The sequence below is a fragment of the Homo sapiens genome, chromosome 11 (genome assembly GCF_000001405.40).
Source record: "Homo sapiens chromosome 11, GRCh38.p14 Primary Assembly".
NCBI lineage: Eukaryota > Metazoa > Chordata > Mammalia > Primates > Hominidae > Homo > Homo sapiens.
The window spans coordinates 110,153,637-110,172,217 of record NC_000011.10 but is presented as its reverse complement, the minus strand read 5'-3'; the positions used below and the strand labels follow the sequence as shown (position 1 = coordinate 110,172,217).

The 18,581-nt window shown below is 38.0% G+C and overlaps 1 protein-coding gene across 2 annotated transcripts in view; it reads right to left on the bottom strand.

The window, feature by feature from the left end:
• Nucleotides 1-376: 376 nt before the first annotated feature.
• ZC3H12C (zinc finger CCCH-type containing 12C) overlaps nucleotides 377-18,581 on the bottom strand; it is a 78,450-nt gene continuing 60,245 nt past the window's right edge. For both annotated transcript variants that reach the window (NM_033390.2, NM_001411037.1), the window contains exons 4-6: nucleotides 12,728-12,962; nucleotides 8,839-8,945; nucleotides 377-7,877 (exon numbers count right to left, since the gene is read on the bottom strand). In NM_033390.2, the coding sequence (NP_203748.1) occupies nucleotides 6,481-7,877; nucleotides 8,839-8,945; nucleotides 12,728-12,962 (1,739 nt within the window). In that variant the 3' untranslated portion in view covers nucleotides 377-6,480. The remainder of the gene's footprint in view (nucleotides 7,878-8,838; nucleotides 8,946-12,727; nucleotides 12,963-18,581) is intronic.

Below are 18,581 nucleotides of genomic sequence, written 5' to 3'. Positions count from 1 at the left end.
GCGTGCGCCATGAAGCCCAGCTAATTTTTTTTTTTTTTTTTTGTATTTTTAGTAGAGATGGGGTTTCACCATGTTGGCCAGGCTGGTCTCGAACTTTTGACCTCAAGTGATCTGCCCGCCTTGGCCTCCCAAAGTGTTGGGATTACAGGTGTGAGCCACTGCGCCCGGCCTTTTCAATACAATTTAAATCAACTGGCAGCCCTCATAATCAGAAAAGAGGATGTCCGTGCCATCTAGCATTATCTTACAAACTCCCTGGACGAGGTCCCTACCAACAATACTCTTAGCCAGACACCTGATGATACTTCAAAAGCACTGGGAACCAACACTATAATGACGGGTTCAGGAAAAAAAAACACTCTCATCATGCCTTAAGTTATGTCTAGTTGTCTTTGACATTTAATTTCAATTTTCATAGGAATTAATCATGGCTCTAACATTTACATTGATACTGACCATGTGTTTATCTTACACAATGCTCATAATGTTAGCCACTGAATGCAGGCAAACTAGAGAAGTATGATGCTTTTATTTATTTAGCATCTATGATGCCATATGAGATCAATTTCTTCATTAAAGAAAAACAAACCAGCATAAGAAAAACGAATTAAAAATTTTTTTTTTCTCAGTGGCAGAATCACATAGCTGTTTCGATACAGATTTCCAGTAGGTCTAAAATACCGTTTTGGGAATTGTAAAGATTCCATTACAGAAATACACAGAACAGAGGATAAATACAATCACACTAGTTTATCAGATGGTTGCACTACACATCCTTTGCCTTACTTTTCCTATAAGAAAAGTTCGCAGGATCAAATAAAAAATTCTACTAGCAGCATATGACTCTGGTTTGGGAGGACAAAACCCTGAAAGGAAAAGATAAAATCAATAACCTGGTACACGTGCAGTGAAATGCTTTGTCTCTGCAGAAGTGTGCACGTTTGTGAATATTTCACATAAGGTAAGAAATTTCTAATTTCAAAAAAACTGAAGGAATCTGAACACCTATTCTTCATAAAAACAAACGATTGCTTTTCAATGCCTTTTTCCCTTGGAACATACGCTGCTTTAAGAAAGGTGGCGAAAGCTTCAATGAACAGCGTTTTGTTATTCATCTGAAACACTTGGACAGAAAATTGGCAAATTTGGTACATGGTTCAAGAAGTGAAACATTACAGATTTTATAAAACCAAGTTAAAACATGCACATTTTCTACTGCCAAATGGCCAATACCTTAAATTGTCTTTAAAAGACTAAGGATCTTAGGGGGAAAAGCCACTTCTAATACATAACAGTAACACTGCAACAGGAGTAATAATTAAGTTAACAGAAAGTATTAAGGAAAAACAAAGTAACCACTTAAAAAACAATAAACATTGTTAAAACCTACAGTTGCATTCCAATTTTAAAAGAAAGTTTAACTATTTAAGTGGATGATGATGTTCATGCTGTTTAAATGTTCTTATGAAAATGATTACTGATGCAACACCCGGTATAAAGCACTGTGAATAAACATGCTCAGCAGCGTGTACTTCCAACGAATTCAAAATTACATATGATCATATGAAGAATATCATTCACCAAGGACAGTCCCAAGGCATCTAAAAATCCTAAAGATCTGGACAGACAAAGCAGAGATACATTTTATTTCTCATAAAGAGTTACATTGTAACATGCCACTCACATTATAGCTACAATTATACTAGTCACAATTTTTAATCTTACAGAATAAAGCTATAGCATGTGAAATTACAATATATTTATCTTCTTTAAAATCATTTTTAAAGAATGGCAGATATGTTATTTATTAGAAGCCAAAACCAATGGAAAAATGTAACTGGTAAATGCAGCCAAAATGTATCTGTGGCTAATTAAATGCTGCAACAGATTTTTTTTGGTCTATGAGACTTTTAAAAAACAAAAGGTTGGTAAGGGATTCCCATTTATCAACAGAAATGAAAAGTTTATGAAAGAAATTCAATACATATTAAAACATTTTAACAGAGTGCTTTTTTTTGTGGTTAAACACAAGAAATATCTCTAATAAATAATGGGTGTAAACAGGTAAGAAAACTCAAATGAATTAAGATGCTTTAACATCAATGTCTAACAATCCTCTTTTGAAGGACATCAAAAACTACCAGATTTTCTTTTAATGTCAACTGAAATGCAATTATGATTTCTTCTATTAACATATACCAGGATTTACTGCTTGAGATCAGCAAATTATGGCCCACAGGCCCAATCTGACCGGCTTCCCGTTTCTGTAAATAAAGTTTTATTGGAACACAGCCACACTAATTTACATGTTATCTGTGGCTGTTCTTATGCTCTAAAGGCAGAGCTGAGTAGTTTTTACAATGGCATTTGAAGTCCATATGATTCCTGTATTATTTACTATCTGATCCTTTACAGAAAAAGTCAACCCCTGCCCTAGGGGGCTAAGATAGTGTATGTTTCTTTACTTTTATTAACACTACTGTTTTCTCTTATTCTAATGCATGTGTGTAATCCATCTCTTTTTAATACCTCATTTTATTTGTTGGTGTATACCTTGGAAACTTAACTGTTAGCTGAATTAACATCTTTAATATATTTGGAACATAAGCATATGTCCAGCCAGAATCTGTTTGATTTCAGGTCACGTGGGAATTCTCCAGGAGTTAGATGACAATAAAATGGGTGCACCACACACCAACAGAATGGCCAGAAAACTGTATGTCTTATTTTATCTTGAATAAGGAAGTTGGAGAGCAAAAAGAATAATGAAAACCAAACATACTTTAAAGTAAATACCATTGTAAATCAGAGGGAAAACAGCTTGAGAGTTTTCAAAACACACACACACACACACACACACACACACACACACACACACCCAGAGCCATCCTCCCACCTGTCACAAACTAAGAGCTATAACATAAGCAAAGTATATTTGTTTTATAAATATATTACTGTCTATATACATATAGATACATCCATAAGACATGTTAAATAATTATTTGTATAATCAATACTACTTTAAGTTTTTTGTGTATTTTAAAATTACACATTCTATTAAAAATATCAAAATAATTCTTTGAAAATACCAAGAATAAAACCAGTGAAGAACTGCTTTCCATCCAAGTGGTTCTAAATCTTATCATTGGCCGTCCAGACCCCAGACTCGGTCGTTCACAACTCAAAGAAACATAGTTTAATTAGAGAAAAGTTAGCCATCAGAAGCACTCCCCCCAACCCCTGTTTTTAATACCTCATAACAAATACATATTTGTGTATATAGATATACATAAAATACTCTTCAGTTATATTACATATTCTCATAAATGAATTTTCATAAAAACACAAAGTTCAAGTTTCCACCAGTATCAAATATATTACACTGGTGTGCATTTCTTCCAAATGTGTAAGTCAATGACAAACTCTTATCAGGATATAGAGAGAGATCATAAAAACAAGACTGAAAACGTCTGTATCCCATGCAAGAAAGGAGGAGATACTAAGGGCCAGTATTTGGCCAATTGGGTACTATTCCCTCTGGACTAAGACACAGAGACAACAGACTGGCTAGTTACTGTGTAAAGCACAGTCAACTGTCAATTATTCAGGGGCAAAATACTCCAGTCTGAATCCTTTTTTTTCCGATCAGTTGACCATTTCTGGCAACTTCACTTATTAACACATCTCTCTGGTTATTTATTAGCAAGTCTGGTAAAAGATTTGGTTAGAGAGAAAGTTTTGGCTAAAATGAAGGCTTGTGATCAGCTATGGATTTAATTTAATGATGGACTCCTTTGACTTATTGCTTTAGATAAGTAAGAATTTGCTGTACCTAAAGTCTGCCAATTATCTCATTCTACAGCTCTGAACGCAACATCGGTGCTTCAAAAAAAGGGGACAAACTGTCCTCTTCACATAAGAAAACTGCTATTTTTAAACTCATAATTAATTACACTGAAGGATTTAGTGTGGGTAGTTCAGAGCTACTCACTTCAGTAGAGGTGGCAGCTGGCTACACTATTTTCCCATAATTTAAAATCCATGAGGCAATGACAAATAGTCAGCTAATAACACAAGAAGGTCAAATTCAAAGTGTCACACACATCTCACCTAAGATCTCATTTAAATAAATGTAAAATTTGGCGAATGTTCAAATAATTAAAATGGTAAAATGAAGAAAATGGAAGCAAAACCTACATGTATAATTTAAAAGTGATTTCATACTAAAAAGAAGTCTTAGAATATGACTAAAATAAAAGATACTACACATTTGTAACCCTGTTTTTGGCACTGAGTTAGCCTCTACATTTAAACTTGCTTTATAGTGACCAAATCAAGGAGAACAATTTCACATGCGAGTAGGGTTGCTTTCAGACAGACACCACTCAGAATGGGTTGTGTGGCCTCACCCATATTATTTCTGGATACAGATGAGTGCCACACTCATTTCAAACACAACAGCAATAATTGTGTAGAATACCACTTTCCTGAATTAAGTTTGCTGAACACGGTTCAGATTATTGGTTATGTCAATATGCACAATGCCTTTTAGAAGCATTTACTGTATACCCAAATCCTACTTCGTGCAACACACAGTGTCACACAAGTAGTGAAAATGTTATCCTAGTCAAAGGTGCTTGGACATTATTTTCAGGCAGCATTTTACCTTTATTTTAAGTTCACACTAGGTAAGTTTTAGGAGAAAGAAAATGCCAATAAATTTATTTACTGTGTTTTAATATATTATATAAAACTAAGACAGACATTTCTATTTATCTAAATTGTTATTTTTATTTTCTAATCTATTCTAGACCTCAATTTTACTTTAAAAATTTGTATTTAAATAAGGGATAAAATGTTGCCCAAAAGTCTAATCATAGTTACATACTTGTGTTTTAACTAGATCTACAAATCAAAATAGTTCTTATAGTTAAAAAGATACAATTTGTATCAACAGTAAAAGGTACTTTCTGGTTTTTCAGGGCTTCACTTCAAACTGTAGCATGTAGGATAATCAGAATAGCCAGGGCATCTAAGCAGACTACAGAAAAAGATCTGAATGCATCTGTTACGTGAAGTACAATTCAAAACCTGGACGCAACAGTCAAGTGATGTCAATCACACAACTGTCTGCCACTGACTGCAAAATCTATCTTCTACTCCGCAGAAATGTATTCACCACTAGCAAAACCCATGACTTTGAAACCAGAAATATCCCTTACTAATACTAGAACAGACCTTAGTCTGTATCTAAAACTACACTATTTGTGGCAAGAGTCTGGCCTTAATAATATAACAGGCCCCCCCAAGAAAACTACCTTCAGGAAAATGGAAAATATACAATATCTTACAAAAATTTTAAGTTACCATTTACAACTCCTCCATCACCATTTCTCTATAGTGCAGTATCAAGAAATGTTGCATAACCTCAACACATAAACCCACCTCAGGCCAGCCTTGATAAATAGCAGGAAAGCTAAAGAGTATGTTAAATATAAAAGTTGCATTGTGAATAATTAGATTCATTAAAAACAGGCAAGTGCTGTGAAAGGGTTATTTTATCCAGTATTGTTGTGCCCCAAAACAAAAAGACAGACATATTAAAAATACAGGTTAATGGAAATCTAGGAATTCAATTCCACTTCTACTGTCAAGAAGCACATCATAGCTGGATAACAAAGCTCTAACCTGTAACAGTTACAGCTTTTGCCTTATTCATTTTTAAAAAATGGAAACATTTTTCCATTGATTGCATCTGCTTTCTTTTAAATTGACCATATTAAATTAACTAATTTCTTAACAGAAAAAAAAATCCAAACAAAAATAACACATCGAAAAGTGCCATATTGTAAATCATTCTAATATATATATACTGTAACACATTTCAACATAAAACTGGTAACTTACATTCTGTTTAAAATATAAAGTCAGTGCTGTAGTATAACTTTGTTTCTATAAATAATGATTATAGCACAAAGAAGCCCACTTTCCCCAAATAAAAATAACTTAAAAAGCTGTAAAAGAGTCTAACTAAGCTTGGCTCGAAAAAACAGTTTGCTAGGTCTAGTCAAATGTCCCACATTCTGAAGGTATTGTAATTGCTTGCAATTGATAGACAAACACCAAGTTAATAAAACACAAAACAAGGATAAAAAGTGCTGCATATAAACCCCTGATGCACCAAAGATTAATATCAAAGATCACAGATACATCTATTAAATCAAACTGGAAAAATTTCCAGCCAAGGATATAGCTTTAAAAAGGAAATGTTAAAAAAAAAAAGTTTAAATGTAAAGCAATCCCGTGATACTTCCACCATGTGGGGCTATACATACAGATTCCATGATACAGTATTTCACATAAATGGATACTATATAACCTCCTTGCTGAGAAGGAGATCACATGTGCTATTGTAGCAAACCTCCCTCAGCATTTGAGCTGAACAAAAAACTACTAAACACCACAAAGATGCATCATCTTTCAATAACCCAGCTGGGATTTCTCCACTAAAATGGCTGCGGCGAGCTGCTGGGCGTCTGTCATGTGAGGATTCCTTTTCATGACAATTCTCACAAGGTCAGGGGGGAAGATGTTGCACAAATTGATATAAATCTTTTCTCGGTTGTCTTGATACCTCGGGGGATCTTGCGGCATTCCACAGTATGGGATCCGCCAGGCTGGCTCCTGTTGCTCAGGGAGGCTCTGGAAGGTGAACTGCTCATAACACGGCTGTGTGGAGTTATCGGGCAAGGAATAAGTCTGCCGGTACCCATAGGCGTCGATCCCATAGCCTGGCCTCTCCCAGCTTCCCAGGCCTTCCTGGCGGGAATAAGGCTTTCTTTGTCGTGAAGGAGAACTGTCATAAAGTCGAGAGTCAGAGATGCTGTCTATTCTCGTGGCCACCAAGGACCTCCCTAGGTGTGGTGCCTTAGAGTGTGCTGAACTTGGAGGAGAGGGGTAGTCGCCAGGACAGCTGGACCGGGCGCCCACAGCGGAGTGCGGCAGGTGCAGAGCCAGGTGCGGAAGAGGAGGCTTGTGATGGAACTTTGGTTCTTCGTGACTGTAACTTTGCCCTCTGGTTAAGGGGTCGTGGAAATTCTGCAGGAACGGTTGAGGATTAAGGCGGCTGTGAGGGTGCATGTGTTGACACTTCAAATTCTCCTCTAGCTGTGGGTCGGGGGAGCTGACATAGGACCGGTCATTGTAACCCACGTAGGAGTCACTGCTCCCACAGCTCATGCTCCCTTCACTGCTGCAGTCAGAAGCTACGGAACTTATTCTATAATCTGTGTCTAAGGAGAAACGCCTTTCAGGGCTTCGTGGGCCTGAGAGACTCAGATTTGAGTATGCATTCAACATGGAATAATATCCGATGTCGACAGGTGAGTCACATTTTGGATACTGTTCATAAGGCATTGGCGTTCCATGATTTTTGGTTGCCATCATCATTGAAGGATATTGTCCCTGTGGTCTTTGATCCTGAGGTGGGAAATGAACTCCAGATGGAAGGCCATTGCTTAAAGATGTAGTGCTTTGGGGTTTTGCAGTAGAAGTAGCTGGGATGCTAACTAAGGAAGGTACAGACCTGGTTTCCAATTTGTTTTTGGTGGGAAGCTTTTCTTCTAGGTCTTGGTAGACTTGTGTCCTTATGCTTGGATCTGATTGCCTCTTTGGAGCACCTCGTTTGACATCAGAAGTGCTATCAGCCTTGGTGCTACAAGGAACACTGTTGCTTTTCACCAGTCCTCCTTCGTTTGCAGTTTTGGCTGCCGTATTTCTAGACATGGCACGGAGTTCATCAGCCACTGACCGCTGTGGCTGACTGCCCCTTTCGGGATGGTAATATTTGCACTTGTGTCCATAGGTACACTTCTTTCCTAAGAAGAGTAAAATTAATTAGGCAAAGGAGCATACCATCAGATCCTGAAAACTCAGTTTGGCCCTATGATTTTAACTTGTAGAAGAGACAACGATAGAAATGGGAGCTGTGCTAAGTGTCACTCTGTTCTTTACTCTTGAGAAACGTCACTTCTCAGTCTTCTCATTTCTTTACTATCAAGAACAGGAGGAAGTTGGCCGAATGAGTAATAATCACCTCCAGAACTTTTTTTTTTTTTTTGAGACAGGGTCTTGCTCTGTCACCCAGGTGGAGGGCAGTGGTGTGATCTCAGCTCACTGCAACCTCTGCCTCTCGGGTTCAAGCAATTCTTATGCCTCGGCCATCTGAGTAGCTGGGATCACAGGCGTGCGCTACCAAGCCTGGTGAATTTTTTTGTATTTTAAGTAGAGACAGGGTTTCTCCATGTTAGCCAGGCTGGTCTCAACTCCTGGCCTCATGTGATCTGCCCACCTTGGCCTCCCAAACTGCTGGGATTACAGATTTGAGCCACTGCACCCAGCCACTTCCAGAACTTTTGGCTAATACCTCCGTGTCCTCAACTCCTACCTGCCTCTTGTCTTCCAGTAGGACTTTATAATTAGGTAGGAAATTCTGTTTTGAAGAGCACAGTATACTACTGTAGGGCGATAGAACCATGCTCATCTGATTTGTATCTAGATGAAAAAACTCCAAATTTTTATTCACTTCAAAACTAACTTCACGTAGAATTAACAGTGTTTTTTGAACCATGTTTTAATATAAGGAAATGCATTTGTCTTGAATCCAAACAGGTAAAAATAATTCTTTTTCATGGCTAAGACGTTTTCTGAAATTTATCTGGAATCCAAAGAACTGCATATTATGCCATCCAAAATTTTAAGTGTTCATTTTTGTTAACAAAAGTTTAATAATATATTGTGTTCTAAAGGCATATACCCAATATTCACAAAGCAAGTTACCATATGGACAAGGCTGCTTTTTGTGTTCAGGAACAATAGGTTTCTTCCTCAGAAAATTATCCAGACTGGGGCCATGTCTGCCAAGAGGGTCATCAGGGGGCATGAACCTGTCATGGAGATAATAAAAAAATGATACCTAAGTAGGAGGCTGATAATTTAATTCTAAAAAGAGTACAAAGATTTGTTCCCTCTATAAGGAATTTTTTTTGCAATTTTAATCCAAGTGTTTTGATTCCACGTTTACAGAGTAAAAAAGAAATCAGTAAATGAAGTTCTCATTTCTTAATGAAAATTGAACTGTTTTGAGCTGAAATTGTATTTGTTTTAATTCAAGTAAGTTTTGAGTTGAGCATGTCCTATTAATTCTTCCTTCCTCTCAGTCTTGGGATTTTGTAAGGGTTTTAGAAAACGATTTCAGTGACACTTTAGGAGAGCTTTATCAACATACACCTCATGAAATGGACTGCTGCAGGTGGGGCGAGGTGGAGCAGCTGAGAAGAAGGGAGGGGGCTGGAACACAATGGGAAGGTACGAACTTACCAGACACCGGTTAGTGCTAGGCACTTTACACACTACACCATGGCATCCTAACCATGATCCCACGAAGTATTAGCTCCATTTTACAGATATGTAAACTTTTCTAATTTAGGTTTAGATAAATGAAGTGATTTTTATCCAATGTTGCATGGCATAGTCAAGATTCAATTAGATCTAACTCCGATCTATTCTCTTCCCCTATTTGAATGCGCTTCTCAGTTGAGATAGAAAAAAATGCTAAGGAAATAAACCTACTATTTTGGATGGACTAATAAAGAAGAGAAGAATTTATGGCATGAATAATGAAAAGAAGTTATGCTTGAAGAATTCTGCTATTCATTATATTACCATTTGAACTTAAACCCAAGTATTTACCTATAAAATGTGAATAATGGGAATAATGTATGAACCCTTACAGGAGTGTCAACATGGCTGAGTAGTAACACTTAGCAACCACAGTGTTTATTATTACAAAACAATATGGTAACACTACATGTTACAAAACAGAAGATAAAGTCACTCAATCCCACAATCTTAATACAATTACTTTCCAGGTCTGTGTTAGATTTAAGTCATTTTCATTGTGCACACATCATTTTACATGGCTTTAATCAAACACAAATACAATTTTACACTTTGCCTTTTTAACATAAAAAAACTTTCCCATGTTTCTTAATAGCCTTCATAATAATCCTTTTTTTCTTTTTGACACAGAGTTTTGCTGTTTCACCCAGGCTGGAGTGAAGTGGTACCATCTCAGCTCACTGCAACCTCCGCCCCCCTGGGGTTCAAACAATTCTCCTGCCTCAGCCTCCCAAGTAGCTGGAATTACAGGCGCCCACCACTATGCCCAGCTAATTTTTTTTGGATTTTTAGTAGAGACGGGGTTTCGCCATGTTGGCCAGGCTGGTCTCAAACTCCTGGCCTCAGGTGATGCACCTGCCTTGGCCTCCCAAAGTGCTAGGATTACAGGCATGAGCCACCACACCTGGCATAATTCTTTTTTTCATAAGAACTCTGAAGAGCTGAATAATATTCCAGTAGGAGATGTATCATAATTTGATTGATTTCTCTATTGTACATTTAGTTGCCCTTGAATTCTTGCAATTATAAATAATACAGAAATGAACACATCTGGTCTTTATTTATTCCTCAGTATATATTCCAAGAAATGAGATTTTTGGGTTGATGGAACACAATATTCTTGAGGCTTCTGTGAACCTCTGCCAAATAACCTATCAGTGCCTCTTTAATAGCATAAGGCACACACAAAATTATTTTTGTGAATTAAATGAGAAAATATATTCTTTTTAGATTCATTTGCATTTTTAATTAGCACAAGAGGTGAACTTTTTCTACATATTTAGAAATATATTTACTTCTCATGAGACATGCTTGATGTCATTCGTTCATTCATCAACTTTTAGACTCTGATCATGACCAGAGTCTTACATTACTATAAGAACTTTAAAAATTCAGGTACAGTCACGCACTGCATAACATCTTGGTCAACAATGGACTGCATATATGACGGTAGAGCTGAAAAGTTGCTGGTAACGTAATAGCACAATGCATTACACATGTGTTTGTGATCATGCTGATGCTGGTACAAACAAAGCTACCATGCCCCCAGTCGTATAAAAGTGTAGCACATACTATTATGGACTGCGCATAATACTCGATAAACCATGATGTCACTGGCTGTGCGTGATGGCTCATGCCTGTAATCCCAGCATTTTGGGAGGCCAAGGCAGACAGACCACTTGAGGTCAGGAGTTCGAGACCAGCCTGGCCAACATGGTGAAACCTCGTCTCTACTAAAAAAAAAAAACACAAAAATTAGCCAGGTGTGATGGGGCGTGCCTGTAATTCCAGCTACTCAGGAGGCTGAGGAATGAGAATTGCTTGAACCTGGGAGACGGAGGTTGCAGTGAGCTGAGGTGGCACCACTGCACTCCAGCTTGGGCGACAGGGCAAGACTCCGTCTCAAAAAACAAAAAAACAAAAGAAAACAAAATATCCCCAACTATGTTACTGGTTTATATAGTTACTATATTATACTTTTTGTTTTTATTTTAGAGTGTATTCCTTCTACTTCTAAAATAATGTTAACTGTAAAACAGCTTCATGCAGTTCATTCAGGAAGTATTTCAAAAGGCATCGTTACCATAGGAGATGACAGCTCCACGCATAGTACTGCCCCTGGAGACTTTCCAGGGGAACAATATGTGGGGGTGGAGGACAGTGATTTTGATGATCCTGACCCTGTGCAGGCCTAGGATAATGTGTTTGTGTCTTAGTTTTTAACAAACACTTTAAAAAGAAAAAAAAATAAAAATAGAAAACAGCTTATAGAATAAGGATATAAAGAAGGAAAATGTTTTTGTACAGTTGTACAATGTTTTAAGCTAAGTGGTATTACAAAAGAGAAAAAAGTTTTAAAAACTAAGAAGTTTATATATTAATAGTAAAAAAGTTATAAGCCAAGGTTAATATATTATTGAAAAAAGAAAAGTATTTTTTGATAAATTTGGCATAGCCTAAGTATACAGTGTTTATAAAGTCTATAGTGGTTTATAGTAATGTCCTAGCCGTTCACATTCACTCACCATTCATTCACTGACTCACTCAGGACAACTTCCCGTCCTGCAAGCCCCATTCATGGTAAGTGCCCTACAGAGACATACCATTTAGAAATCTTTTATACCATATTTTATGGTATATATACCTCTTCAGTGTTTAGGTATGTTTAGATATACAAACATATCATACCATCGTATTACAGTTGCCTACAGTATTCAGTACAGTAGCATGCTATACAAGTTGGTAGCCTGGAAGCAACAGGCTATATGTACCACATCGCCTAGGCGTGTAGTAGGCTGTTCCAGCTGGTTTGTGTAAGTACACTCTATGATGTTCATACCCACAATGAAATCGCCTGAAGATGAATTTCTCAGAACGTATCCCTGTTGTTAAGCCAAGCATGGCTTATTTAGTAAGCTATCAGTGCTCTAAATTGATTTTAAAAGGCAGTCCTTTGAGGGTGAAGATGGGAATTTCCCCAGTGTCTGTTTCCTCAGGTTCTCCAGACATAGTCTTAGAAGACTTCCTCTACCTTAGGTGTTCTATGAGTGACTTACAGGGAAAGGTGGGGCCTGCCACTCACACCGGGCCTCCTCTGGCAATGATTCTGCAGTTTTCCTGACTCCCACTGAGGATCAGTGGGGAGATCAGTTGTTAGAAACCTGTGTGAAGTCTGGACAGTGGCAAAAAGAGAATTCTGTAGCAGCTGCCAGGGATAGTTATATTTTTACAGAAGCAGTATCATTGGCAAGTAAATGGTTTTACTTACTTGTCATTGACAAATGAATACATTAATAATCGTTCATCTATGAACTTCTTCCATTCTGGCTTCTCATTAGCCAAGTCCCTGTAGTTATCATTGGACACAATGATACCGTCCGACTCAAAAGCCAGCTTCACGATGAACCTGTCGTCATAGCACACCACTCTCCTCCCCTGGACTCGCCGGGATGGCGTGAACACCAGGATTTTCTCCTTCTCTAATTTACGTAAAATTTCCTGATCTGCAAGAATAATGACGGTAGGATGGCAGAAAGTAAATACATAGATAACACACATGGCAACTTTCATACAATGTGAAACTCTAAAACATAAGCTGTATATATGAAATCCTTTAATTAGGGATTATGATTTAATTTGTAGATACAGCATCATTTCCAACTCTCAATAGTATTTTTCCTTCAGGAATTTTAATAATAAAGACTTTAAAACTAGTTAAAAAAATACGAACAGTATAAAATTGAACCATGACTGGGCAAATTCTGACTGTCATTATGTGAAGCTTTTGCTTAAGAGCTGGAGTCATCACACGACCACTATGGACACAGCTTCTTCCACGTTCCTACTTGAATGCCATTCTAATAAAGCAGCTGTATGCTGTGTGGGGTTCAGGTGTGAGCAATACATTTTTTTCCTTTTAAGTTTGTTTGCATACTTCGTAATTATTTTCTTCTAACTAGTGGGAGAGTATGAAAGGAAGTAGAAGTTGTCCAGGTAGCAAAGAGAAAAATCTTTAAATGCAGAAAGTTCAAAGAGAGAGAAGGCAGTGAGGTCACAAGTGTTGTTATAAACATGGCTACAATATGCCCCATGACCTTTCTGTGAGACATGGTGACAAATGCCAGCATTCTTGTGGGGGTCAGACTGAGTAAAAGATAAGAAGTCATCATGTGGAGAAAACATCTGCTGATTAGAAAAGGCCAGGTAGAGATATGCTCATTTTGTCTGTGGTTGGATTTTTTTTTTTTCTGTGACTGAGTCTTGGTCTATCGCCCAGGCTGGAGTGCAGTGGTGTGATCTTGGCTCACTGCAACCTCCGCCTCCCCGGTTCAAGTGATTCTTGTGCCTCAGCCTTCTGAGTAGCTGGGATTACAGGCGCCTGTCACCACGCCTGGCTAATTTTTGTATTTTTATTAGAGACAGGGTTTCACCATGTTGGCCAGGCTGTTCTTGAACTCCTGACCTCAGGTGATCCACCCGCCTCAGCCTCCCAAAGTGCTGGGATTACAGGAGTGAGCCACCGTGCCCGGCTGGTTGGCATACTCTTATAGCACTTTGTAACTCTATTGACTTGTTTTGTGATTTAAAAAAGGGTACTAGAGTTCATATGTTAATCAATGATAAAAATTCTCTTTCAACCATCCTTTCCTTCTACTTTTGCTCCTCTGTCCCCCATTTTCCCACCATTGTAAGTTCTGGCACAGAGTGCGGGGCACAAACCTACAGATGTCATGATTTTTTTTAAAAAAAAGCTCACTTCTTCTCAATGCTTATTAACTGGACTTACTAAGTTTTTTTCAATCCATCTCTGCAACGGATGATTATTACATACCTTCCTGGTATTGTGCCAGGTGTAACAGCCATCAAGATTAAAAATCACCTCTCCAAAGGAGCCTCAGTCTGACTGCACTGGACAAACACATAAGCCAGGTAAGCAAGGGTTGTAACTGCCACAGCAGAAGTGTGAGCTGGGTACAGATGGAAGAGTGACACGGGTCAGCTCTAATCCTGGCATACAGATTGATGATGCTCCTGACAGATGAATTCATTAAGACCAGACATTTGGGAGGCTGAGGCAGGCAGATTGCTTGAGCTCAGGAGTTCAAGTCTACCCTGGCCAACATAGCAAAATCCTGTCTTTACAAAAAATACAATAATTAGATGAGTGTGATGGTGCACACCTGTAATCCCAGCTACCTGGGAAGCTGAGGCAGGAGAATTGCTTGAACCCTGGGAAGTGAAGGCTGCAGTGAGCCGAGATCACGCCACTGCTCTCCAGCCTGGGCAACAGAGCGAGACTCTGTCTTAAAAAAAAAAAAAAAAAAAAAAGACCAGACCTTTCTATGAGTGGAAGAAATGTGGCTCAGGTTCTGCCACTTTCCACATCAGACAATCACAATCTTGTTGAGTCTGTTTCTTCATGTTGTCAAATGCAGTTGATAGACTATGAGAAGTACATGAGTTATCTTGCGGCAAAGCAGCTAGCACAGTGCCTGGCAAGCTCTCAGTAAACACTGTGCTCTTCAACTTAATTTTGTTCAATAGATGTAACTGCTGATCTCTCTGTTTTTTTTTTTTTTTGAGACGGAGTCTTGCTCCGTCACCCAGGCTGGAGTGCACTGGTGCGATCTCAGCTCACTGCAACCTCCACCTCCCAGGTTCAAGCAATTCTTCTGCCTCAGCCTCCTGAGTAGCTGGGACTACAAGCGTGCACCACCATGCCCGGCTAATTTTTGTAATTTTAGTAGAGATGGGGTTTCACCATATTGGCCAGGGTGGTCTCGAACTCCTGACCTCGTGATCCGCCCGCCTGGGCCTCCCAAAGTGCTGGGATTACAGGTATGAGCCACTGTGCCTGGCCTACTGTTGATCTCTTTTAGAAATGACAGAATACCAATGCAAAAGCAAGTGCCCCGTCTCAATTATAGGAGCTGTCATATAGTTTTGTGTATTATTAACCTGATAAGCATTTTGAGGGCAGGTGCCATGAGTCATTTATCTTTGTATCCATCAGCACCCAGCCCATGAGGCACATCAGTAGATGTTCAATGACTGTCTGTGGAATGAATGAGTTACTTAAACCTATATACTCTGAAGTCTTTCAGTTCTTTCGTCGTCTTATGTTCATGAGTAATCTATGGTACTTTATTATTTGTGAGGATGTCTACTCATCTATGCCATGTCTTGATCCTCACCAAAGTGAGTTGTAGATTAAGTTCGGTGGCCTCACAGTCATCATGTTGCTTAATTTGCATTTCTTTAATTGTTAATGAGGTTAGGACATTAATTAGGATGACATAAATAATCCTGACATAAGTAATATGGGTTCAGTAAAACTAGTAAGTTAACTGAATTTCTAGTTCTTAGCACAGCACTTGATACATAGCTAGTGCTTGTTAAATATTTGATAAATGAATGGAAGATTGGCAAAAGTGCTAATCTGAATCTATGATGCTGACAACTTAAAAATATTTCTTATCAAGGGTCTTTTTTGTTGCAGTGAAAGAGTATTGGGCTACTCAATTTATCAGGTATTATCTGGTTCAGGGTTTTAGTTAAGAGAATTATTACCCTGGGGTTATAATACCTATAATACCTAAAAATATAAATATATATTTATATATATAAAATATATAAAAATATAATGCCTCTGCCATTAGTTTGGCATTTTATAAAGCAATCTGCATACTGATGTGTTCCAGGGACTGGCATGCTGGTATTTTTAAAACTAAACTTAGACACACTTACACAGTGTACTATCATTTTCTCTTCTTCTCTTCATGTTCAAGAAGCTTTAAAGTCATTTACATGCCTAAATATTGTTTTCCTTTTTTTAATTTACTCTATCCCTTCCCCCATTATCAAAATATTGTTAAGTTCCCTGTAGAAAATTAGAAAGGTAAGGACGAGTACTAAGAAGCAGGCAGAAATAAAAACCTCACAAAGTTGCAACTAAGAGGCAATTACTCTTAACAGTTTGGTATATTTCCTGCTCATCATTTTCTGTGTATTTTGTTCTTTCCACTGTTGATATATGTGTATATATATATGTATGCCTGTGTGTCTGTATAGACAGACACACAAAAATAAAATCTGCCTTTTATGTAAAAGAGCATTTCTGCAGATCATTAAAAATTCTGCCTGAATATTCTAATGCATATTCTATCATATTGATACCTCCTAATTGAACCATTCTTCTAATGAATGAACACTTTTTTTTTTCTATTCTAAATAATGGTACTGCATGGGATGTCTTTGGTCACAAATATTTGTCTGTACTTCTGCTTATTTTCTTGGAACTTATTCTTAGAAGGGGAACTAGTGGATCCAAGAATATTAACATTTTAAGACCAACTACTTTCTTGACAGGTTGTAACAATTTCCACAGCAGCCTATGAGTAACTGCTTCAGGGCACTGAATGCTATCAGTTTTTTACTTTCCGCTATTTTTTTTTTTTTTTGAGATGGAGTCTTGCTCAGTTGCCCAGGCTGGAGTGCAGTGGCATGATCTCGGCTCACTGCAACCCCCACTTCCTGGGTTCAAGCGATTCTTGAAGCAATTCTTGTCTCAGCCTCCCTAATAGCTGGGATTACAGGTGCCCGCCACCAGGCCCAGCTAATTTTTTGTGTTTTTAGTGGAGACAGGATTTCACCATGTTGGCCAGGCTGGTCTTGAACTCCTGACCTCAAGTGATCCATCTGCCTCGGTCTCCCAAAGTGCTGGGATTACAGGCTTGAGCCACTGCATCTGGCCATCTCTGCTAATTTGCTGGGTGAAAAATAACATTGTTTAGATTTGCATTTATTTAATTACTAATGGGGTTGAACTTTTTTTCTTCTTATTTGGTGCTTATATTCTGGGAGTTGTCTATTCCTAGCCTTTTGATGCTTATATACTGGAAAGAAGTTTTTTTTTTTTTTTTTTAATCAAGCTGTATGAGCTCTTTGTATTAAGGGCATGATTCTTTGTTGGATTTTTTTTTCCTTAGGCAACTTGCCAATTATCATTTTTAAGAAAGTTTCTCAAAATGCAGGAGCTTTAATTTTGATATAATTTTATCTCTCTTTTCCTTAGTAATTTCTTCTAAAAGTTTTAAATTTAGAAAATTCTTATGGTCTCTGATGGTTTGATTTTTGATAATTAGTCTTCAACCACCTGGAATTTATTGTTATATGGTGTAAGATAAGGGTCTAAACAAGTACATTTTTCCCAAAGGGTTATCCAATATTTGGTACTACTGGTTGAATGATGACCTCTCTGCTTTACATTTATACATAGGCTAGGGTCTGGTTCCACTTTGGACTCCACCATGACTTGCCTATTCATTCTTATGTTAATTTAACAATGATGTAATAATTATACATAAAAACTAAGTCTTTTTTTTTTTTTGAGATGGGGTCTCACTGTGTCACCCAGCTTGGAGTGCAGTGGCGTGATCTCACCTCACTGCAACTTCTGCCTCCTGGGCTCAAGTGATTCTCCCACTTCAGCTCTCGGGTATCTGGACCACAGCACATGCCACCACACCTGGCTAATTTTTTGTATTTTTGGTAGAAACAGAGTTTCACCATGTTGCCCAGGCTGGTCTTGAATTACTGAGCTCAAGTGATCTTCCCGCCTCGGCCTCCCAAAGTTCTGGGATTACAGGCATGAGCCACTGCGCCCAGCCAAAAATTAAGTCTTAATCATCCCCTTTGGGTATATAGTAGATGGTCTCTTTATTTGTTTTTGATTTAAAATGTTTTACAGTTGTCTTTACACGGGTGCCTCAGTTTTTGTCAATACTGGATGCAGAGAGAAGGACAAGAAAGGTTGGATGTTGATTGTAAATCACTGTAATTGAGCAAAATGTTCAAGAACAATAATTAACAGTTACAGAGGACATCATTGCCTGAAACTCATACATTTAAAAACTACAAAATAATGCAAAATACATTTCTTTCTACTGGACTGAAGCACATCTTATGGTCTTACATGTCTTTTTTGAACTGTTGTTATTAGAATCTGACTGCCACCTAATGTCACAATAGCACATGAGAAATTGGGGCCCAAAGGGGTTCATTGTGTGGCTCAAAGTCTTCATAGCTAGTGAAGGGCAAAGCCAGAATTTGGATCCAGGTCT